Below are 25,163 nucleotides of genomic sequence, written 5' to 3'. Positions count from 1 at the left end.
CGAATTGTGTAATGCTTATAAGCATGAGCTCTGAAGCCAGACCACTTGGCCCTGCTGTGCCTTAATTCACTGACCTTGGGCAGTTTTCTCATCAGTGAAATGGAATTAAGAATAGGGCCTGTTTCATAGGGTTGTGAGGGTTAAGTGAACTACCATTTGTGAAGTGCTTATAAGAACAGATAGCAAATACTATATTCCTATTAGCAGCGTTTCCTGCTTTTGTTGCTATTCTTATTATTGTTTCCTGGGCGTAAAAGCTGAACTTGCCTTCCTTTACTTCTGGAAGATTTGGGCAGAAACCGAAGTAACTTAGTCTAGACTCATGCCTGGGATAGAAGCCTAAAATGACTGGCCCCTGGAAATCTAGACTCTTTGGCAATAGGGAAAGAATGCCTGTTTTCAACTTAGATCTGAGTTTGGATGTTGGTCTTGCCCCTTAGCTACTTGAGTGATAATGTAGAAAATATTTTAAAATGGAAGAGAATAATGCCTATATTGTAAGGTTCTGAAACTTAGAAATGACAGAACAAAGAGCCAGTTCTTGTTATATGCTCAAAATATTGGAGCTATTATTATTATTATTTGAAGAGACAATCTAGCCCACCCTAAATCATGCAGATGTGGAGCTACTTGGTGAGTGCAGAGACTGTTGATAAAGTTTGTCAGTTTATTCAATATTTAAGATGAAGTTTTAAATTTGCTTTGTAATAGAAATAATTACAATGTTTGCTGTATTTATGTATTTATTATATATGCCCACTTTAATACTAGGGAACTCTTCAGAACAGACTGTTAACATTTCTTTTTTGTCTTTTGAATTGAATATTGTAGAAATCAGCTCTCAGGAGGAAGTGTGCAGTCTGTAAAATCGTCGTCCACACCGCCTGCATTGAGCAGCTAGAAAAGGTAAGAGCGCGCCCCCTGCTGCAGTTTTGTTACATTGCAAGTATTTGGTCTTCAGAGGCCCGGTGTAAATTTCCAGTTCCAACTTTTTGAAAACAATGCCCTTAAAAAAAAGCTGGAAGTCCAACATTATTACCAGATTACTAATGGAAAGACAATGTTTAAGGGTCGTTCACTCTCTTGTTTGCTGAAGTGTAATTTGATATCATTTTACGTTGACTCTTGGGAAAAGGAAGAACACAGTTAGATGGAAAAGCCTGGTGTGCACTGATTCTCTTATTATATCATCTCAGTTCAAGCATTACTATCCACCCATAGGCTGTTCCACAAGCTGTTTAAGAAGGAAGAAGTTCTATAAGCTGTTTATAATTGTTGTTCACATATATCTGACTTGTGTGGTTTACGTCTTCCTAAAGTGCCTGCAAGGGAGCGAGCCACGCTGGAAGCCGGCTCTCACTCTGCTGGGGCAGTGCTCCTCCTGTTGCTGCTCAAATGTGTGGGTGGGGCTGGAAGTGACATCCCGGTGGTGGTGTGCCTCCAGAATCAGTGGATTCGGCAAAGTCCATTTATTTGTCATTTAGGGGATGGGAAAGGCTCCAATAGTGAGTTGCCTGCCATCCTCTTTCCTTTCACACTTCCCACTACATTTTAATGTGTGTGTTTCTCTGTGTATTATCTATGTTCTTGAGCTGTCATGGGTAAATGCATTGAAATATTTTAGTCCCCCATGACATTCATGTAGTTTCACTGACATGACCAGTTGATCCTAGCTGATATCTTGTGGCAATGACTACCAACATGTTATCTTAATATTTTCTTTTCTGCCCCAACTTCACTTACTCATCTCTGCCTTCATTCTTTTGCTCCTTTCACTTTATCGAGTAGCTAACCGAAATGTCAATGTGCCTACTAGGAGACCTCCACATCTAAAAGAAAAGCAGTGCTGAATCCTTTTATAAAGAATAACTCTGGGCTGGGTGTGGTGGCTCATGCCTGTAATCCCAGCACTTTGGGAGGCCAAGATGGGTGGATCACGAGGTCAGGAGATGGAGACCATCCTGGCTAACACGGTGAAACCCCGTCTCTACTAAAAATACAAAAAATTAGCCAGATGTGGTGGCACGCACCTGTAGTCCCAGCTACTCGGGAGGCTGAGGCAGGAGAATTGCTTGAATCCAGGAGGCGGAGGTTGCAGTGAGCTGAGATCACACCACTGCACTCCAGACTGGGTGACAGAATGAGACTCCATCTCAAAAAAAAAAAAAAAGAATAACTCTGTTGTCTTTGAATAATTGTCATAATACTAAAAAAACTCAAGTTTATATTTTCTACTTTTACAATCAGAAACCCAGCTGGGTAGTTTAAGCTGCCAGTATCTTTCCTCTGGCTCTTTCTTATCTCAGTTTCTCAAATTTATGGTGTAAGAGCATTATCGTTTAAAGATACTTAGATTTGATTTGTGAGAATGAAGGAAAGGGGTTGGAGATATAGAATCACCTGGGATCTCTGTTGATTATCTAATGTGATGATTTCAAAAGACTAAGAAGAGTATTATTCCTTGTTCTTTGGAGGTTTTGCTTTTCAGTCTCAATATCTGTCACTGTTTTTTTTTTTTTCAGGTAATTCAGTCTAGTCTGATGCTTATCTCTAATATAATATACTTTTCTTTTTGAATGACAGATTAATTTCAGATGTAAACCAACATTTCGAGAAGGAGGCTCAAGGTCACCAAGAGAAGTGAGTATTTCAGAGCTTGATTTCAAGTATCACCTTTGATTTCTCATTGATTCAGTGGATTCATAGATATTCACCAGGGAATAAAAAATAAATTCTATCTCTTTCTGTTGCATGCCAATTTTTTGTTAACACATCAATAAGCACAATCAATAAAATCTTCAAGTCTTTTCAACATGTGCACACTGGACTTTATTCTCATAAAATGTACTGGGGAGTTTAAGGTCTTACCAAATGAACCAGAGACTAGAGGAAGGTGGTAGTGATAGAATTGAAGGGGTAAGAAAGAAATAGACTTTTATTACTTATTTATTTGGAGACAGAGTGTCGCTCTGTTGCCATGTGTTCTGGTTGATTTTAAGTGCATTTTTCAATTTTGAGTGGGTATAAGCCATTCATGGGGCAGCACAGTAACTGGTTATTCCTATGAGCCCTGGAGTCAGACGGTCTGCTTTCAAAACCAGCCTTGATGTGTGTGATCTTGGGCGTCTCACCTAAGCTCTCTAAATCTCAGTGTTTTCATTTGTTAAGTAAAAAATAAATACATCATAAGCTAGAACTATATTCAGTTCTCAGTCCCTGACCCTCCAGTCTGGTCGTGAAGATAAACAGGTAAAGAGGAAGTTAGAATGAAGAGTTGTTACTGATGTGTTAGTGGGAAGCAGAGGTATGACAAGAGGAGACAGCACTTATTTGTTCACATTTTATTTAGCAGAGACAGCAAGCACAGTTCAGGCAAGAACCCTCCTGTGTTATTCTGGACAGTTAAGCTCCAGGCCCAAAATTGCACTCCCTAATCAGTGAAACAAAAGCCTGCAATGAACAGAACCTGTCCTCCTAGAATGTAGTTCAGCCTGCCCAGCAGTCACTCACTGCCTCCCAAACATTAGCATCTTATACGGTATCCTCCTTAAGACAAAGTCTGGTAAAAATGATTTCTGATAAGCATACTTTCTCAGGGAGACGAGGTTCAGTTCCACTTACAGATTTACCCCTTGGAAACCTCCCCAGCTGGTCTACTCCTCAGATCAGCTCTGTGTAGTAACAAATAGGAAAGAGAGGAGAGGGGTCAGAGAAGGGGCTTCCTGGAAGAGGCGGCAATTAAGCTGAGACCTTAAGGAGCTAACTAAGTTAAGTGAGAGGAGGGTGGTTAGGAGGTGAGTGGCAAGAGCCTTCCGGATAGAAAGAAGAGCACACAAGTCCAAGTGAGAGAGGGTGTACTGAGTAAGACATGAGATCTGAGATAGCAAGAGCTGGACCCTGAAGGTCCTTGTAAGCCATGCTGCAAGTTGAGTGTTTTATCATCAGGATAGTTGGGAGGTGAGCATTAAACTACTTTAAGCCAAATATTGTTCAGGCTGCAGCGTGGAGGAAATACCATGCAGTTCAAGAGTTGGAGGCATAGAGACAACTTTCAGAAGCCATGCTAGTAATCTAGGCAAGAAATAATGGTGACGTGAACTAAGAATAACGTTGGTAGATATGAGTTTGAAGGAAACAAAATTGACAGGATGTAGTAATTGATTGGATTTTGGACACAAGAGGAGCCCAGACTAAACCAAGCTACTGCTAAGTGCGCGCACGCGCGCGCACACACACACACACAAACACACATACACACACACACACACCTGAAAAACTGATTAGATGTTGGAAAATGAGTTGATTTGAGGATGGGCTGGGGAGGTAATGAGTTTAGTTGTAGAACTGTGAAGTGTGAGGTATCCCTGTTGTCCTCAACTGGAGATGCCCAATAGAAGGTTGAGTGGGTATATGAGTTTGGAGCTTATGAGGAAGACTGGGCTGGAGGTCAGGCATTGTGAGTCATCAGCCTATTTACACAGTAATGAAAGCTGTGGGAATAGATGAACGTGGAGAGTGGAAATAGGAGATATCTGAGAATCACAAACATTTAAAGAGAGTTGATGAAAAAAGACAACATGAATATGAATGCTATAATTGCTAGTGACAATGCAAAAGGATTGGGAGAACATGTGGAAAGAGAGTAGGTTGGGATGGAGGTTGTAGAAAGAGAAAACATAGTTGTCCCCATCAGTTGTCTTCTCCCATTGTGTTTGTGCAGCATGGCAGCAATAGGAAGGTTGTGGGCCATGCGCAGGGTGAGGAAAGCAGGAGAAGAATGATAGGGCTGTGGTGCCTCAGTGCCACCCAGAGTGCAGACAGTGTGGGCCAGAAGGTAATTCAGTGGTGACTCAATTGAAGGAGGTGCTTTATTTAGGAAACTAGAAGGGGTTGTTTCAAGTTAAGATGGAGTTTATGACTTTCCAACCAGGGGATTCATATACCCACCTTTAGCTTCCTGCCCTCCAATATGTATCTCTCTCAATTGATAGGTCAATGTGGAGGCAGGGGAAGAGAGAAAGAGAGACAATTTTAATCGTGCAATTTTTCTAATACAAGATGCTTTTGGTTTTCATTAGTCTGTACCACTTCTCTGAAGCTAGACCTTCCATAAGGGTTTTGGATATTCTCCCTTGTCTTCTTATCAAGGACTTGAAATTCCTTTCTTTTATATATTTTCATCCCCTCATTTCTAGATAATTTCTATCAGCATAAACACACTCTAATAATTTCTATCTTTAAAAAAACCCAAAAACATTCCTTAGCCACAAACTGTGTCTTACCTACTGCTCTAATTCTCAGTTTTGTGGTCACTGCCAAGCTTCCAGAAAGTGTTAACTATATAAATTATTTTCGGTATGTCACTTTCTAGTCATTGTAACCTGTTCTGATCTGATATCTACTCTACCCATTTACTGAAATTGCTTCTTTTTTCAGTGTTGCCTATGATCTCCTATATGCTAAATGTATTAGGTATTATTTATTTTTCTGTTCTTTCCTTATCCAGTCTCTCAAAAATATTCAAGATACTACATATTCCATCCTTTTTGGAATGCTCTCCTCTCTTGGCTTCTCACATCACCCTTTCCTAATTTTCTTCTTGTTTCATCAGATGGCCCTTCCTATTCTTTTTCATTGCTTCCTCCCCCAACCTCTGCAAATCCCTCCGAGCTTAGTTCTTTTCTATGTTCTCTTCCGTCTGCCCACTCCTGTTAGAGGAGCTTATCCAGTCTCATGGCTTCAAATACCATGTGGGCTGACAACTCCTAACTTTACATTTCCAGTCTGCCCTTCTTGGAGTTCCACTTGGCATGTCTTTTGAATGTATCACAGTCATCTCAAATATAATACATCAAACACTAGACTATTTCCATCACCATAAAAATGATTTTAAGAAAATCGTATGCACCTCAGGAAATGAGATGGCTGTTAATCTGGCTTCTCAACTGAGAAAACTGGGGAGTCATGTTTATTCCTTCTCTCATAGACTCCCCACATCTAATTCATTTGCCTGTCCTGTCAATTTTATTTATAAAATATATTTCAAATCCATCCAACTGTCTCCAATTCTGTTATCAGCACCTTAAACTAAGACACTGTGACCTCTCCCCTTTGACCAATGTAATAGCTTCATGATTCTTCAGTTGTCACTTTCAATCCACCCATGACTTAAAGGAGTGATCTTTCAAAATGAAAATCAGATTATTAGGTTGGTGCAAAAGTAATTGAAAGTAATGACAAAAACCACAGTTACTTTTGAGCCAGCCTAATATAATTTTCCCTGGCTTAAAACTCTCCAGTGGTTTCCATAACTCTTAGAGCAAAAGCAAACCCTCTGTCTTGGCATGAAAAGGTCCACATTGTCTGGCCCCTGCCTGCCCTTCCAGCCACCTCCAGCTCCCACATGAACTTTCTTTCCATTTATGAGGCATATACCAAGATATTCCCCACCTTTGGATATTTGTGTATTTCACTGCTGTACTGAAAATCTCTTTGCGTGACTGTTTCTTACAGTTAGGCCTCAGTTCAAATATCATCCCCCTCAGCCATTGTCTTAGTCTGTTTAGGCTGTTGTAATGAAATACCATGGACTGGGTGGCTTATAAGCAACAAAAATTATTTCTCACAGTTCTGCAAGCTGGAAGTCCAAGATCAATGTACCAGCGTGGTCCAATTCTAGTGAGGGCCATCTTTGGGGTTGCAGACTGCCACCTTCTCATTGTATTCTCATGTGGAGGAAAGAGGGTGAGAGAGCTTTCTGTGGTCTCTTTTATAAGGAGCCTGATTGCATCCATGAAGAGTCTACTCTCATTACTTGATCACCTTTCAAACACCTTACCTCCTATTACCATTGCGTTGGGGTTTAGGATTTCAACATAAAAATTTTGAGGGGACACAAACCCCAGTCCTTTGCAGAGGTCTTCCTTTACAACCACCTTTAAATACATAGCATATTGTTCTTTATCAAAGTGTCTTGTTCTTTCTTTTCAGGGCACTTTGTATACCATAATAATTTATGCATATTACTGTTTGCTTGTCTAAAGAATATCTCCCTTCTTTAGTGTAAATTTTGGGAGATCACTCCTAGATTTTGTCCTAAATTAATTGCACCAAAACACAGAGTATGTCACTGATGGATATCTGCTGACTGAATGCATTTACAAAGGTATTCATTTCTCTCAAAATGTTTATGAACTCTTAGTCTAAAAGGACATTTTGAAGATGAAACTTATGACTCACTGACTATGACCCATTTGATATTCTTAATTAAAAATTAAGAATTCTTACTACTACTAATTCAGATGTTTATTTAGTAAATGAAAGAACATTTGCTTTAGAATTAGTTTGACCCTAGTTCACATTATACCTCTGCTTCGTTTCCACTAAGTGGTAAGAGTCTCTGGAGCACAGATTGTTGGTCACTATGCCCTGGCATTTGCATAGTGCCTGACATGTGACAAGTTTTAAATAAATATTTGTTGGAGTCATCTAAGTTGAATCTTTCTGGATCTCCTTTTTCTTAGTCATAAGCCATAACGGACTGGGTTATGATTTCTAAGGTCCTTTCAAACTCTATGAAATATATATATATATATATACATATATATATAAAATTTTTTATTTCTATAGGTTTTTGAGGAACAGGTGGTATTTGCTTACGTGACTAAATTCTTTAGTGGTGATTTGTGAGATTTTGGTGCACGCATCACCTGAGCAGTATTTACCGAACCCAATTTGTAGTCTTTTATCCCAGTTCAACTGGCTGTTTGAAAATAGCCAAGCAATTGTATTGTGTATTTTTGCTAACAATACTGAATATAAGCCCTGAAATAATGCATTACCAATATTTTAACACCTGTAAGTAATAGCCCTTTCCTTGCCCAGTACTTGAAGTTGTTTATGAATAATTCAGAAGTTATTGACGAGCAATAAAAAGGTTTTATGGTGTTAGAAGCCTTGCTTTGCTATCTTAACAACAATATATCAACAGTCACATTTGCAGTGTTAAGGATCCTGAATCCAATGTCAGTTCAGCAACTTAGGAGCTCTTAATAATGGTCAAAAGAAAAGAGTGTGAGAAATTAAAGCACTTGGGATATGAGGATTAGAATAAATGATTCTATAGTAACTTTTTTTCCTTATCGATGAAGGCAATTGATGATCCTCCCCTCCTCCATGGTAACTATGTGATTTAATCGTCAAAGAAATTAGGTGGATAATTCCATTCAATTCAACACACATATATTGGATGTTTGCTTTGTTCAAACTATAATTAAGCAGCAGTAGAATAAATTTATATTGGGCCTAAAAAGAACTCTGAACAGAAGGATGCTGGACATCTCAAATCGCAGAGCTGTAGTTTGGAGACAATTACTCATTTTCTTCTACGATAGTGATTTTGTATAAGTTAGTTTATCAATCCATGCCTTAGTTTTCGGCTTATTTTCTAGGAAGGATGATATTAAAAATATTTAATAAATGGTAGAGCCATAGAGAGTAATATTTAAATAATAATTTTTAAATGTTCTTTTTTATTCCCTGACTAAACTATATGATATTCTACATCTGCTTACCAAATTATATACAGTAGTCCCCTCTTATCCATGATTTTGCTTTCCAAGGTTTCAATTACCCAAGGTCAACCACAGTCCAAAAATATTAAATGGAAAATCCCAGAAATAAACAATTCGTAAGTTTTAAATTGCATGCTGTTCTGAGTAGCACGACGAAATCTTGTGCCATCCTGCTCTGTCCTGGGATATGAATCACCCCTCTGTCCAGCATATCCACTACCTGCCCATTCATCACTTAGTAGTTTTCTCAGTTATGAGACTGAAGAATCGTTGTATATGTAAAGTTTGGTACTATCCCTAGTTTCAGTCACCCACTGGGAATCTTAGAACATACCTCCTGGGAAGAAGGGATAACTGTGTGTTGCAGTGCAAATGATGAAGTCAGTGTTAAGATTTCTAAATAATTGTTGATTTATGGACAGTGTTGGCTGACTCTTTTGAGTAGAGCTGTTACTTGCTAAATGATCCCATGAGTCAGCCATGATTTCACACAGGTAATTGCATCAAATGTTTCCAACATGTTTCTTCTTAAATTGATAGTCATTAGGTGATTTATAATCTCAATAATTACAGATTTTTTTCTGACCATCAATGATATTGTTCCTTTTCCCTCGGCTTCTGCTACACTAACAGCAATTATATTACATTTTTCTATTCTGTATGATACTGTCTGACATTTTTATATATTCAATATTTCTACTACTGACTGTCATTGAAATCATTTGTTGGTGTGTCATGTTGAATAGCGTGAGCCCTGTTTTGCAGAACAGAGGAAAGGCACAGTGACACAATGGTAAGGGCACAGATTCTGCTGCCACCCTGTCTGGGTTTGGACCCTCACTTTGACCTTTACATTTTGAGTAACCACTTCTATGCATTAGTTTCCTTATCTGTAAAATGAGAATGATGTTGACCATTCAAGTCAAGCCCTCTGATAATGTGCCCTACTGTAATGCGAATTGGGATATGCTGCAGTTGGCAGCTGGCTCTGGTTCTCCCTAACCCTTATTCCTAAGCAGGCAGTGGACTAAGGTTCTCATCTTATCGGTTGAGTAGGCAGATGCTAAAGGTGTCAGCAGTAGCCTCAGCTGCAAAGTAAAGAGGTAGAGGGTCCAGTGCCTTCATCCTCAGTAGAATTTTTGCACTGAACTGATGGGATAGATACTGATAACTGGGCAGGTTATTCTAGAATTGCCGTCACTTTCTTGAAAGCCACAGCCAGCCACAGGACCCAGAATTGTCCATCCAGGTGGATATTTACGATTGTACATACAACCACCACCAGCTGGGCCCAGCCCAGCATTCTGAGATTCTTTGGGGGAACCAGTAATATTGCTCAGACAGCATGATTTGTTTTCAGAAGAGAGAGATCATTGGAATAGGATCCTGGAGACCTATTATGTCAGAAATTAACATTATAATTGCTTAATAATGAGGAGGTAGAAGTGGTCTCTAATGTTGAGGTGATGCAAGGGAGGAGTCAGAGAGATGGTAGGGGCACTAAACTGCAATTTCCCAATCAACATATATTTCAATATTTCAACAACTCATAGGATTTTACTGATATATTCCAACTAAGTGGCATCTCTACTCATGAAAATTCTCATGAAGATTAGAAGAATTATTACTTATAAAATATTTTTTAAAGCGCATGGCTCACAGTACTCAACAAGTGTTAGCTATTATAATTAGCTTCTTTCTTAGGACAATCTAAGCTTGTGTCTTTGTTTTATTAAACTGTGGTAGTAGGAAAAGTGAGACAAACATTAGACTAAATTGTGGGACCATTGTGCTTATTTATATCTGATTATAGTTAAAAGACCATTGTTCCTCCAGGGTCTTTGTTTAGTTTTAGTTTAAGTGGATTTGACATTATTAAGAGAAATAGAGGTGGCATTTCAGTATTGATAATGCTAATGCTTCTCAGTGGTTTCTTGTCACTCTGAATTTCATGCCTTGATATATAACCTTTTTTCCCTCTACACTGATCTATTTTCTGTCCATCTGTACGTACTAATAGAACAGTGCCTTGCATGTAGGAAAATTTTGAATAATTGAATATATATTCAAGTGGTTTTTAAAGAGAAAATAAGGGTTATGGCTAGACCCTACAATAGACATGTTAGAATTAGATAAAGTGTGTTTTCCCAGAAAAGGGCAAAAGAAAACAATGAGTACTTTAGGGGTATTGGTGTCAGAGGGATGAATTGTTTGTAAGTTATTAGGGCTTGCCTGCATTCCTAGTCCTGAGGATGACTTTCTTGTAATGTATCCTGAGAACCAGTGGTGAATGGCGCTGCTTGACTCTGCCCCAGGAGTGCTTGTCTACTTGGGAGGAAGAGGACTTTCTGTGTTTCCTACAGTCTGAGACAAAGATAGACCTTGAAAGCTAATCTGTAATAGTTCAAGGTGCCCAAGGATGGTTTAAACACAATACCATTGCAAAAACATCATTGATATGCTTGTATCTCTTGTCCTTGACATCTCTTGCCTTCAGCTTTTCTCTTTCTTCACTCTATCTAGTGAATAATTCTCACGTCTATGTCTTGTATTAGGAGATCTCTTTCTGAGAGTTTGATCTACATTATCTCTAGCTAGAATGTTTGGTATAGTGTCTGCCTGCCACAGATAAAGCACTACATACCTATTTGTTAAATTGAACCTGGATATTGTTGTTTCAGCTTCTCCCCTTCACCTTTCCACTTTTGTTTGGGTATTTCTTTTACCTGCCTCAGTTACCTCCCAGCTCAAGGTCCTCTACTGTGTTCACAAATCTGCAGAGTGTTTGACTATTAAGACAGTAGAGTAACTGCAATCTCGTGTGGCCACTTGCCACTAGGAAGACGTGGAGGGAGGGCATGAGAAGTGGAATCTACAGATATGAAAGATCTTTGGGGATGGAGAAGTAACTTAATTTGTCCACGTAGATTCATGTTTATTGTTAAACAAGTCATACCCATAAATATTTGTTTCTGGGCTCATCTGGGCTTAGATGATGGTTTATATAAATCAATAGTATTACCACATTAAAAAATGAATCTTGAGATTTGCAAATTAAAACATACTCAATCAAGTGCAGTAGCTCATGCCTGTAGTTCCCACTATTCAGGAGGCTGAGATGGGTGAATTGCTTGAGCAGAGGAGTTCGAGGCTGCAGTGAACTATGATTATACCACTGCACTCCAGTGTGGGTGACAGAGCAAGACCCTGTCTATAGAAATAAATTTTTAAAAATATTCATTTAATTTTGTTTTCCCACAGAATTTTGTACGTCATCACTGGGTGCACAGGCGTCGGCAGGAGGGGAAATGTAAGCAGTGTGGTAAGGTAAGAGCCCAGCCACCTCATGGCCTCGCAGGAGGCTCCCCAGGCCTCTGCAAGCAACTGAGGTAGATGAGTCCTGTCCCCAAATCCAGTGTTCACTGCATCAGTTCCTTTCTGAAAGACCTTACTTGTCCAGGTCTCCTTAAGAGGCATTGTAGTTGTTCTAGAACTCACTGCATGAGGCAATGGTGTTAATAAAAAGAATTAGCACATTTTTAAGATACCTGGATGCATTCTTACAGTGAATTTCATTGATGATTTTTGAAAACATGACTGTTTTGTGAAAATGCCTTCATGAAGACAACTGGCTCATCGTACTTTGGCCAATCGCAGCAAATCAATGGGTTTGAGCAACACTACGTTTGCTAATATAAAATTGTGTTTGGGCGGAACTGTTTAGGACAACATGGTCAGAAGCTAGAAATGTGTTGCTCCCTTGGGACATTATCCAGTTCATGGAAGAGATGCCCTTTTTATTTGTGGTTATTTATATCTACCTCCTCTGTCATCATGGCTGGTTATAGGTCCCTCAGGATGCAGTGCCACTTGGAAAAGTGAGCTGGAGCAAGGGGTGGGGGTGTTGTGATTGTATACTATTAAATGCCATAGATTCCATGTGTCATTGACCCCAACAGATTTGGGTTACAGCTTTTTCCAATGTACAAAGATCTACTTTAAGGATGACAGGGTCCTCTGGGAGGGTTAAACTGGTGGCGAATATCACTATAAGTATGTATAGTGTGGTTCACCACCAATTTAAATGACATTAATAGTAAGCTGATGGTCATCAGTAAAGGGAAGTTTTGATTTGGCAGACAGCAAGATAATTTGGGGGGAATATCTTCCTAAATAATTAATTATTCCTCTGTTTGTTTATTCATGTGACTCCTTTGGGTCAAGCATTGGTGTGAGCTGCCCAGTGCAGCATTTTTGACAGTAGAGCAATGCAAGGAAATATTGGCTGCCTGAGATATGGTTGTGGAGGGTGAGGGAGGGAGACTTGGAAAAAATTGCATTAATTTTGCTGTTTTGCCCAATGCCTGGGAAGAAAATATGCTGTAACCATTGGTTATGAAGGTCTTCTCTGGAAGGCTACACACCTTAGCCTCCAGGGCATAGGCCTCCATTGTAACCAGTATTTTGTTCTCCAGTTCAACCCTGTGGCTCTCAGTTGGTTCTCTTTTATCCTGTAAAGAGGATGAACAAAACAGGGTGAAAGCAGGGTGAAATAAAACAAAGTAAACAAGGCCGAAGGGGGAAGTGGAAAGATTTGTACTGATTCTTATTGGCCATCCTACATGTCCTGGGGAAAAGGAGGTCACACCTCTACTCTCACATGACCTTTCTCTCTTGGGTCCATCAACCTCTTCCAAGGTGTTGCCTTGGGGCTTATGGATTTTCTTTTACTTCAAGAATCATCGACTGTAACTTTCCCATAAGTGTGCATGTGTGTGTGTGTGCATGCATGTGAGGGTAACAGTATGCTGCAGCCGGGCAGGCATAGCCATTTTTTGGGTCAGAGATGTAAAGAGTAGTAAGAATCTGGATGAATAGGTCCTTCACTTTGGAAAAATATCTTCACTGGAGCCCAGTAGCTGGCACCACCTCAATAATGTAAGCCATAATGGAGTGGGAGGGATTTTATTAAAAGAAAATCAATAAACATTTTATACTTTGAGACAAGTGTTCCCTAGTGCCATATTGCACTCTCTTCTGGCCTCTTGTTGGCATGGTCAACTGAACAGGAAGAACTGGGCTTCCTCCACCCTGAGTTGCTGTGTGTCCTTTCCTGCCAGTGTTCTCAGCCAGCCATCATGCCATGAGCACAGCTCGCTGCACGTCCGTCGTCAGTGGGGAAGTCAGTGATCCAGCTTGTCACATCATGTTTCAAAAATATTGCACTATTATAGTCATCTCTTGTGTTTATAATGCAGCTTCTCCATGAATTCTTCAAGACTCAAACAATTATGGGATGGGTGGGATTGTCTCCTTGCCACATAATAAATTACCCTTCCTTGGATTCCAGCTTCCACCCTGGACAGGAAAGCTATGGCTCTATTTCCATTTACAGATTAAGTAATGAAAATTCACTCCAAACATTGGTGCTATACATAATTTTCATCAGTAGTGTTGTACCTTCTTATTCATATTCATAGACTTTTTTTTTTTTTTTTTTTTTTTTTTGAGACGGAGTCTCGCTGTGTCTCCCAGGTTGGAGTGCAGTGGCGCGATCTCCACTCACTGCAAGCTCCGCCTCCCAGGTTCATGCCATTCTCCTGCCTCAGCCTCCCAAGTAGCTGGGACTACAGGCGCCCGCCAACACGCCCGGCTAATTTTTTGTATTTTTAGTAGAAACAGGGTTTCACCGTGTTAGCCAAGATGGTCTCGATCTCCTGACCTCGTGATCCGCCCGTCTCGGCCTCCCAAAGTGCTAGGATTATAGGCATGAGCCACCGCGCCCGGCCCATATTCATAGACTTTTAAACCTCACTCCATCCCCCATACACACACACACACACACACACACACACACACACACACACACTATTCCATAATTTACTCATTGGGATGGAGTGAAGAATAATTGCTTCACTTAGCAAAACTTTTTTTTTTTTTTCCAACTGATGGCTTGCAAACTTTACAGATTTTTTAGGAAGTGTTTATGGTTAAAGAGTGTTTGTGGTTTCCATTTCTGCTTTTAAAATAAACAATAAAATGATGTTTGGACTGATTTTCTCTTGCCTTAAATATGTGTTTGGCTGAGTGTGTGTGGCATTTAACAGAGATCAGATGAGATAACTCATGATTTAATTGCTCAGTTCCTTTAACGTTAGCCGAATGCCTCAGGCTACTAGGTTTATAACCCTTCTGTGGTTTTTCATTGTCATTCATAGTCCTTGATTACATAAGAGTCAGGGTCAAGGCAGAAAAGAGCCAAAATGCTCAAGTTCAAATTATGTAATTTGATGAGAGTTTAATGAGGAGAATATTTAAAATGTGTGAAAAGCATGGGGGATGGTGGGTGGAACCACAAGAAAAAATGGAGAACACTGTGACTAATGTCAGAGAGCTGTGGTCAAGCTAAGCCTGAAGAGGTGAGGAGATGGAGAGGACCCCTTCCCAGGAGCTGCAACTTTCAGTCACAAGACTCAGCCAGCCTGTGGTGACCTAGAGCCTGGAGAAATAGATACCCAGTAGATACCCAGCTCCACATATCTTCATGTTCTAGTGGCCAAACCCAACAGAAACCATAGCACAAGGGATTGTTTGATGCAATCCATAAAAGCCAACTCTTTACAATGAGTCATTGAGTAGAGAAGGATGGAGAGTAAAACTTGAGAGGCAGATGGAATTGATCTAGCACATATTGTTTAATGCAAACCTGTAGTCAATCAATGGTTGGAGGCAGAATGCATACTTTTGCTGTAAACATGTCTCTGATCTTCACTAGATCTACACATTGCCTTCATTCAGTCAAAATTTATGAAACACTGAGTTGTCTATAGTGCTTCAAAAAATCTATATTCAAAAAATATAGTAATGATTATGGCTATTTTGACTCTTCATTTTTTGAGGGAAGCAAACATCCAAACCTAGCATTATGGTAATTGTGAAAATATGTTTGTAAATCACAACTTAAAAGCTTATCTTTTATTTCTTCATATGTAAAAGTTATAAAAATAAACAAGCTAACTTTTTGAAAATCAAAATTTAAAAATTTCCAACATCAATTCTTGAAGCCAGTTTTAAATGCAGTATACACATTGAATATCCCTTATCTGAAATGCCGGGAACCAGAAGTTTTTTGGATTTAGATTTTTTTCAGATTTTGGAACATTTGCGTATACATAAGATATCTTGGGGATGGGACCCAAGTCTAAATATGAAATTCATTTATGTTTCATGCTACACTTAAACACAAAGCCTGAAGGTAATTTTATACAATATTTTAAATAATCTTGTGCATGAAACAACGTTTTTACTACGAGCTATCACATGAGGTCAGGTGTGAAATTTTCCACTTGTGGCATCATGTTGGCACTCAAAAGGTTTTGGGTTTTGAAGCATTTTGGATTTTTGATTTTCAGATTAGGGATGTTCAACCTGTAATACATAGTTAAACTTTGTCTACATTTTTTATACTGTTCAGTTCCTGTATTAGGCTGTTTTCGTGCTGTTTATAAACACATACCCGAGACTGGGCAATTTACAAAAGAAAGGGGTTTATTGGATTTACAGTTCCACGTGGCTGGGGAGGCTTCACAATCATGGTGGAAGGCAAGGAGGAGCAAGTCACATCTTATGTGGATGGTGACAGGCAAAGAGAGAGCTTGTGCAGGGAAACTCCCATTTTTAAAACCATCATAGCTCATGAGACTCATTCACTATCACAAGAACAGTGCAGGAAAGACCCGCCCCCATAATTCAATCACCTGCCACCGGGTTCCTCCCATGACATGTAGGAATTGTGGGAGTTACAATTCAAGATGAGATTTGGGTGGGGACACAGCCAAACCATATCAGTTCCCTAACCAAACATGCTACATTAATATGAATTATTTGTCCATAAATAGTATGTATTTTCATATATTGTTTAAATAGCATGCTGTGTTTATTAAATGGGAAAACATCAAAACTACTCTTTATTTTTAGTAAATATTGTTAAAAACTAACTTGAGAGTGAACTTAGGGTACAATATGTAAATTATACACAAAAATGCCAAAGTGTTTAAAACTAGTTCATGGGAGTGCAGTTGGGATATTACATGGGTAGTGAAAGGGATTACAGAGTATAAAAATAATGGAAAATACTGACTTGGGCCTTTCAGGAATGTCCCCTTATCAACTTAAAGCAATGTACTCTACTAATCTGAAAATGTGTACCCTGGGAGTTAAGGTTAAGGACAAGGAAGGGACGTTTAAGGGTGAGGATCCATGCACTCATTGGGCAGGTTTGGTTATTTGCCTGTCTGTGTGTTTGTGCAGCTATAGCAAAGGAATCCTCTCCCAGTAGCCTCAGGAGGATTACGAGTAGGTAGAGAGAGGGCAGTACAAGGGCAAGGAATCCAGGATGCTCCATAAAGCCCCTGCCCACATGACTGCTGGAAGCCTGGCCCTTCTCTCCTTGGCTGAGTATCAAGAAGGGGGACAAGGACAACCACTGTTCTACTCTCTGCTCCTATGAGTTTTGACTATTTTAGATTTCTCATACTAGTGGCATCATGTAGTGTTTGTCCTTCTGTGTCTTATTTCACTTCAGTGTAATATCCTATAGATTCGTCCTGGGAGGGGGAAATGGGGAATTATTAGGCAAAGGGCACAAAGTTTCAGTTATGCAAGCCGAGTAAGGCCTAGAGATCTACTGTACACCATAGTGCCTGTAATTAACAATACTGTGTTGAATACTTCAAAATTTCCTGAGAGGGTTGTGCTGTTAAGTCTTCTTACCACCACCAAAAAAAAAAAAACCTAATAATAAATAAACAGGGCAGGAAAACATTTTTGGAGTAATGGATATGCTTTTGTCATGGATTGTGGTGATTCATGGGTGAATACTTATCTCCAAACTCATCAAGTTGTGTACATGAAGTATGTACAGTTTTTTAATGTAAATTATACCCCCAAAGAATTTTTTTTAAAAGAAAAGAGGATGGGGGCTAAAGGGTCCTTGCTGCAGTCCCCAGTTTTCATCTGTAGAACCATTTTACTGCTGTCACTGCTCCCTGGGTCTTTGGTGTGGTCACTATCCTGGTCATCGCAGCAAATACAGTGCCCTGGTCACCCTGGGGCCCTTTGTTCTTTCTTCAGTAGTTCCCGCCCACTTGTCTACCTTCTTCTGGCTGCTGCTGTTGGGCCTGCTGGTACTTGTGAACCCAGATGACCTGCACGGGGAGCAGAGGCCCAAACCTCAGGCCAGGGTGGCAATGAGGACACTTCCTGTCATGGTGTTCAGGTCCCAGGTACACAAGCAAATGACCCCTTTGCTCCCTGATCATGATGGGGGACATGGTCCCAAAAAGTTCCAGGTACACAAGGTCCCAATCCCAAAAGGTTCCAGGTACGCAAGCAAATGGCCTCTTTGTTCCCTGATCAGATGGTCCTCAGAGACAAATGGCTTCTGTCCTTCTTCCTCACTTCCTCAGCAGGGCTGATTCTGCTTCTACATATTTACCCTCCTTTTTGGAGAATCTGGCCCAAGTCATGTGTCTCATGATAAATCTCCGGTTTTGATTCCAGTCTTTTTAAGGGACTGATCTCATTGCATATTTCATATGTTTTTGCTCTCTCTGTTGCTGAATTTGATTGAAGTATAAACTAGATATTAGCAAGTAAAAACATTTTATCAAAATGACTATTTCAAATATAGTAATTTAGGTGTAGATGAACAATCAGAAAAGCAAATCTAAACATTTTTGAAATCTTTGTGTTCTTCTCCTATTTAGAATTACTGTCAGATAGATGAGATCATATATGTAAAGCAGTGTATGGTAAATGTGCACCTCATATTTGGATGCCAGGTGAGGAGAGCTAGTTTCCTCATGAAAAGCAAATCAATTATAGACTATGTACAAATAATAAAAAATTTAGTATTTTTTAAGAGAGAAATTAGAAATATACAGCTTCTCTGCCTTTTAAATTAATAAGGCATATAAAACTGAGAAATTATAAAAATATATACATACAACATAATAAATATCTCTGTATAAAATATATAATTAACATGTTATAGTTATTTACATATGTAATGTGTATATATGTATATCTATGTGCGTACATATGTATCTGTGTGTACATACGTGTGTATATATACATATGTGTGTATATACATACACATATATACACACATATATATGTGTGTGTGTATATATATACATATATGTATATATGTGTATATATACATATATGTGTGTATATATATACACACATATATATACATATATGTGTGTGTATATATATACACACATATATATACATATATATGTGTGTATATATATACACACATATATACACACATATATATGTGTGTGTGTATATATATATATATAGTTGTTCTTGCCAGATAAGAGACTGAAAATTCATAAAAGGGCAAAAATAGAAAAAAAAAGAAGCATTGGGGAAATGAAGAAAATAATGACATTTAAGATAAAAATTGGAGGAGGAACATGAACAAAATGTATATGGAGAGGAAAGAAGAGACGAAGAGGTGAAAGGTGAGAAGCAAAGGGACAGAAAGGTCCAGAGAGCCACCAGCAAATGAGTAAGAGTATCTGGAGAATGAAAAGGAGGAGTTGTGAAGCCACCAAGCTGATATTTACAAGCTGAGCTGTGCTCATTCCTGGGACACACTGGGATTCCCTAGGGCAGGCAGGCTTGGAAAGGGGTAAGGGAAGCAGTTCCCAAATCCTCATTTACCGTTTGTCTCTTTATTAAAACCTGAATCTGACCTGCCTGAGAACACTTTTGTGATTCTTTGCGCTGACCTCCCTTTCCAAATTGCCTTTCTTCAATCCGCTTATGACGGAAATCATTCTTTTCAGTCTTTGCCCCAGGTGTAAAACCCTAGGGATGTCAAACAGACATGAAATATTGATGTCAGAAAAAAATCTCCTTTAATTAAAAAAACAATGAAATGAAATATGATTTCAAGGAAGAAAAAGAAATGATATAAAATTCTCTCTTGTTAAAGAAAAAGCATGTTATGTATTCTTTAAATTGACCACCACAGTGATGAGCAAAGCCAGTGCTTAGTTTATTTATAATCCAGGCAGAGAAATATGAGCTGAATAGTTAGCTGAGAAGCAAAAATCAAGGTTCTGCTGATTAATAATTGGAGCTTTCACTCCCTATAGGGCAGGATTAATCCAAAAGTACATCCACAGTTGATTAAACAAGTCAGGTAAGTCTAAAAGTACCTTCAAGTTGGTTTAGCAGTTGGTTAGGAAAGTTTTTTATTTTGATGAAAGTCTAGTAAACAGGTGTAATTCTTCTTTATTAGTTTCAGCTGGTTAAAAGCAATTTTGGTTTAAACACAGCATTCCATTTTGATATCTACTAGGCAAGTGGTATTGTTGAGAGGACAGTTTTCCTTTTACATGGAAAATGTTTCCTTTTTCATGGTCTTCTCCAATAAAAAGATAGGCATATTATTACCTTTTCAGATCCAAACCATTATTTTAGCTCAGGGTTCCCAAGAAACGGACTCGGAGTTGAGATTTATGTGTATGAAGTTTATTGAGTGATCTCAGAAGTGACACCGGTAAGGAAGTAAAAGCACCAGGACTGGGTAGAGGGAGGTGTTGAACTGTGGGGCAGTCACAACAGAGGCCTTAGCCAACTCCATGGGGAACTGGAAGAGCCCTTCAGAGTTACCCGGACTTGACCTTGGCCTTGACCCACAACTGGGCGAGGGCTGTCCTTGGCCGATGTCTTCGTTCATTGCATTGCTATAAAGCAATACCTGAGGCTGGGTAGTTTATAAAGAAGAGAGGATTATTTGGCTCACAGTTCTGCAGGCTGTACAAGAAGCATGGCACCAGCATCTGGTGAGGGCTTCAGGAAACTTCTGCTCGTGGTGCAGGGGGAAGGAGGAGCCCTGAGTGTAGAGATCACATGGCAAGAGAGAAAGAAAAGGGGTGCCAGTGTCACCCAACAATCAGATGTCACTGGAACTAATAGAGAATTCACTCATTGCTGTGAATGCAGCACCAAGCCACTCATAGGGGATCTGCCTCCATCACCCAAACACCTCCTAACGGTTCCCACTTCCAACACTGGGGATCAAATTTCAGCAGGAGATTCTAGAGGGGACAGATATCCAAGCTGCATCAGCTCAAGTGACTCTTTTAGGCTCAGGGCAATTCCTGAAGATGGGAGGGTGACTCATTTGAAGACCTTCAGCTTCCAAGACTCTTCTCAACTGAGGGAATGAGATGAGTGGCTCAGGCCTGAAGCAGAGTTATCTGGGTGGAAAGCCACAGTATTCAATACTGTCCATTCCTGGTGCTACTCAGAGTACCTTGTTTTGTATCGTACATTTTTAGAGCAGCTCTTTCAGGGTTCTGATTGGTCACATTTCCTGGGAAACATAGAAGAGGAAGGATATGGGATAAACTATAGCCCCCATGGTTGCAGCTGGTCTTACATCTGCTACTGATATTCATCATCTCTCTCCTCAACCACTTATCCTGGATTCACCTCACTCTCAACTAGTGCCTCTGGTCTAGGTGACCTACCTGGTAGGCGGACCAAGACCGTTATCTCTCTGCAGTCTGATTCCCTGGTCTTGGCTGCTGCAGTTGTCTATTTATTATTAAAATTGTTCATAGCATTACAAAGCCTGTCCCAGCGGATTTCCTGGTTACCAGATGTATTCTTCCAGCTTCTGTTGTCAGGTAACAGCTAGATCTGTGCCTAATGATCAGGATCAATTACTCCTGTCAGGATGCTGGCTCCTTTCTGTGCCTGCTAGTCTCTTAACACAAAAATTCCAAAGTAACTGGGTGCAGCAGTAGCTTAAAGTTTAAGAGCTTCCTGTTAAGTCCCATGACGAAGAAATTCACCGTCATGGGATTTAGACCCTCAAAGCCCGGAGCTCTGGGGACCAGAAGCACAAACTCCCAAAGTGGGCCACAGTAGGCATAGCCACTGTTACTTTCTCTCACTGGTTTCTGTATTTCTGTATTTTGTCATGGAGACACAGCACCATGAAATGATCATAGATTTAGTGAGTAAACATACTGAGTCTGGTGGATGGTGCTCATAGGATATTTTCTCAAAGCTGAAGCCAGTGTTATATTTTCAAAAGATTATTCCATCTCTCTGTCAGGCCTTCATCTTCTGGATGGTGTAGGCCGTGATAGTCCAGTGGATCTCATGGTCACATGGCCGCTTCTGCACCTCTATGCCATAAAATAATTTCCCTGGTCTGACACAATGTTGTGCAGGATCCTATGTTCGTGGGTCACACATTTCGTAAGCCCTTGCATAGTGGTGCTGACTGAGGCCCTGAAGAAGGGAGAGGTAAGCCCATATCCTGAATATGCATTGATTCCAGTCAAGATGAGTTGCTGCCCCTTCTAAAGCGGAGGGGCTTCAGTGTAATCAGTTTGCCTCAAAGTAGCTGGTTGTTCTCTCTGAGGGATGATGCAATATTGGATTCTCAGCTTTGGTGTCTTTTGCTGGCAGGTTAGAAATTCAGCAGTGGCAGGAGCCAGCTCAGTTTTGGTGACTGGCCACCCATGCTATTGGACCCACATATAGCATCCATCACTCCACCAAGGGTACTGCACTTACAAGCCCATTGCACCATCCATCAATGGGATGGCTCATGACACAGTATGGTACCTGCGTTGTGTCTAAGATTTTAGTTCTTACAAAGGGAAAGCTCTCTGGTAGGAATTAATGTGCAATAATCTTCACTCTTTGTACTTACTTTCATATGTCCTTCCTTATACCTCTTCCCTAGACCTCCTGTTTCCCTCCAGGGCCCTGGCCAACCAGCCTTGCCATTTATCACTGCCTGTGCATCATTATATATTCTATGTCAAGCCACCTATCTTTTCACATAAATGGGATGACAATTTGCTTCACCTGAAGTTATGCCCATGAGGAGGATTTCTTATTATTCCTGTCTCTAGGACCCACTCCTGAGTAGGCTTCAGTGCAGCAGTAGTTTACTTTTGGCCTGGACGTATATACCAAGTTGATCCATGCATGAACCAATCTCAGCATTTTCCTCCTCTTTGAGCTCGTCATTCAGTACTCCCATTTTTCCAGAGGTGAGTTGAATGAGAGACCTGGTACTGTAATAATAGTGGATAATGTGGGTGATCTGAGCCACCTACTCATGCATCCCTGGTACTGCTTGTTCCAGATCTCAGATGGTCCCACTTACTATAACAATGGATTAAGGCTGGGCTCACTCAACCTTATGATGTAGTGATCTGACAGAACTCAGCTCATGACACCTGATGATTCATGGACAGGTATTTCTCCACCAGAGTACAGTAACCTGCCAGAAAATATTTTTGAAAGGTGTATAGTTCCCTCTTGCAGATAGCACAACCTTGTTTCAGAATCCTAGAGTCTGTGTTGATTTTCCTATTGGTGCTTGTTATAAGCATCACAGGGCATCTTTTCTCCTTCTCTAAATTTCTAATCACATGGAGTGACAGGGATTCTTTCATTGCAGGCTGGACCTGCTGCAGCACTGTTTCATGCTCTGGGCCCCATTCTAAGCTGGCAGCATTTAATGTCATCCAATAAATGGATCACATTCCTAAATGTAGAATGTGCTGCCTCCAGAACCCAGAAAGGCCAAATAAAGTGCTGTGTTTCATTCTTAGTGGTTTAAATTATGAAATGCAATAATTTTTTCTTTAGATTGGAGAGGATATTCTAGCATACCTTGGACTACTGACCCCTAGAAGCTTCATTGACATGGGGGACCCCTGACTCTTCATAGGGCTTATGTCCCACCTTTCTTCTCACCAGGACCTCTGATGTACCTTCCACTTCTTGCTCATCTGCTTTAATGTGATGCTGCTGATATGGTGGACCAAATGATGTTCTACAGAATGTTCACACAGTTCGGGTTCCTTTGCATTAGATCTGGATAACATTCAGAAGAGTTGAAAGCCCTGGTACATGCCTGTAAAAATGTACTGTTAACCCTGAAAGCACTTGCAAATAGTTTTGAATTCTCCTTTCAGAGAGGGATGGAAAAAATTCATTTGCCAAATGTCATGTACTTAAGGCTGAAATATTCTAAATTTGGCACAGTGGCTGCAAATAGAGTGTACTGGGTTAAATTTGTGATATTCAGGCACCATTCTCCAGTCTTTGGTTTTATGGGATCTCAGCTGGTGAATTAAATGGGGATATGTTGGAGTACACCACCTCTGCCTCCTGCTTCCTTTAGTCTTTAAGGGTGGCACTTAGATAATTTTGGAAATGTAAACACAATACCATCGTCAGAGCTTTCAAAATTAAGATAAATTTAATGCCTATTACTTCTTAAGAATGTGACATTGATTTTGATTTAGTTATGGCTAGAAGGATGGTTTGAAGCTTTCACTTGGGCTTCCTCTTACACAACAGACCAAGAAACCAGTCTTGGGGTTGTGCCAGTTTCCAAGTCTGTTCACTCCACTTACACAATTGAGGACAAAGGAAATTAATACTGATGGATTTGTGGAACCAGTAGACTCTCTGAAAACCAGCCCTGGTCTAGGACTCCTGCTTTTTTTTTTTTTTTTTTTTTGAGAACGAGTTTCGCTCTTGTTGCCCAGGCTGGAGTGCAATGGCGCAATCTCAGCTCACCACAACCTCCGCCTCCTGGGTTCAAGCAATTCTCCTGCCTCAGTGGCCCAAGTAGCTGGGATTATGGGCATGCGTCACCACGCCCGAGTAATTTTGTATTTTTAGTAGCGACAGGGTTTCTCCATGTTGGTCAGTCTGGTCTTGAACACCCGGCCTCAGGTGATCTGCCCACCTCGGCCTCCCAAAGTGCTGGGATTACAGGCATGAGCCACTGCCCCTGGTTAGACTCCTGCTTTTTTTTTGTTTAACTGGGCCTCACGTTTGTTTGTTTGTTTGTTTGTTTGTTTATTTATTTGAGACAGAGTCTTGTTTTGTCACCCAGGCTGGAGTTCAGTGGCATGATCTCGGCTCACTACAGCCTCTGCTCCCTGGGTTCAAGCAATTCTCCTGCCTCAGCCTCCTGAGTAGCTGGGACTACAGGCGTGTGCCACCACGCCCAGCTAATTTTTTTGTATTTTTAGTGGAGACGGGGTTTCACCATGTTGGCCAGGATGGTCTCGATCTCCTGACCTCGTGATCTGCCCGCCTTGGCCTCCCAAAATGCTGGGATTACAGGTGTGAGCCACCATGCCCGGCCTGTATCTTTATTTTAATAGGGGACCATTAGATACCTGGTGCTGCTTCATACCCAGGGTATACATGTCAACTTGTACAGTTGTCCATTAGTCTTTAGAATATTTGGACATTTCTCTCTCTCCTCAGCATACAACTACCCAAGTTAATGGATGTAGGTCCTTTTAGTTAAAGACCAGAAAAGTGTTACCATAGACTCTTGCTGTGTTATTGTAAGATTCTTCTCCTGGGGACTTACCCTCTCCTTCAATCAATGGATTCTGTCTTTGAAAACTAGCTTAGGTCGAGAAACAGAGCAAAAGATTATGACTTTTTATTGCAACATCTGCCCTCATCTCTCTTGATCATCCATTCTTGATGTCTTCTGATTCT

The 25,163-nt window shown here is 40.3% G+C and overlaps 1 protein-coding gene across 9 annotated transcripts in view, besides 1 other annotated feature; it reads left to right on the top strand.

Annotated features, from left to right (window-relative positions):
* The window catches only part of DGKI (diacylglycerol kinase iota), a 465,938-nt gene that overhangs the window by 189,603 nt on the left and 251,172 nt on the right, over window positions 1-25,163 (top strand). For all 9 annotated transcript variants that reach the window (XM_047421022.1, NM_001321708.2, XM_047421021.1 and 6 more), the window contains 3 exons: window positions 832-906; window positions 2,584-2,640; window positions 11,835-11,900. In XM_047421022.1, coding sequence (XP_047276978.1) covers window positions 832-906; window positions 2,584-2,640; window positions 11,835-11,900 — 198 coding nt within the window. The remainder of the gene's footprint in view (window positions 1-831; window positions 907-2,583; window positions 2,641-11,834; window positions 11,901-25,163) is intronic.
* Window positions 14,372-15,060: an enhancer, noted in NCBI's record as "NANOG-H3K4me1 hESC enhancer chr7:137327058-137327746 (GRCh37/hg19 assembly coordinates)". NCBI's record gives its function as "activates a minimal SCP1, AML or CMV promoter by ChIP-STARR-seq in naive H9 embryonic stem cells {active_cell/tissue: H9 hESC(naive)}" and the evidence as "EXISTENCE:reporter gene assay evidence [ECO:0000049][PMID:30033119]".

This window comes from Homo sapiens, chromosome 7 (genome assembly GCF_000001405.40).
Source record: "Homo sapiens chromosome 7, GRCh38.p14 Primary Assembly".
Classification (NCBI taxonomy): domain Eukaryota; kingdom Metazoa; phylum Chordata; class Mammalia; order Primates; family Hominidae; genus Homo; species Homo sapiens.
Note: the sequence above shows the minus strand (reverse complement) of the source record. Positions and strands in the feature narration are given on the sequence as shown.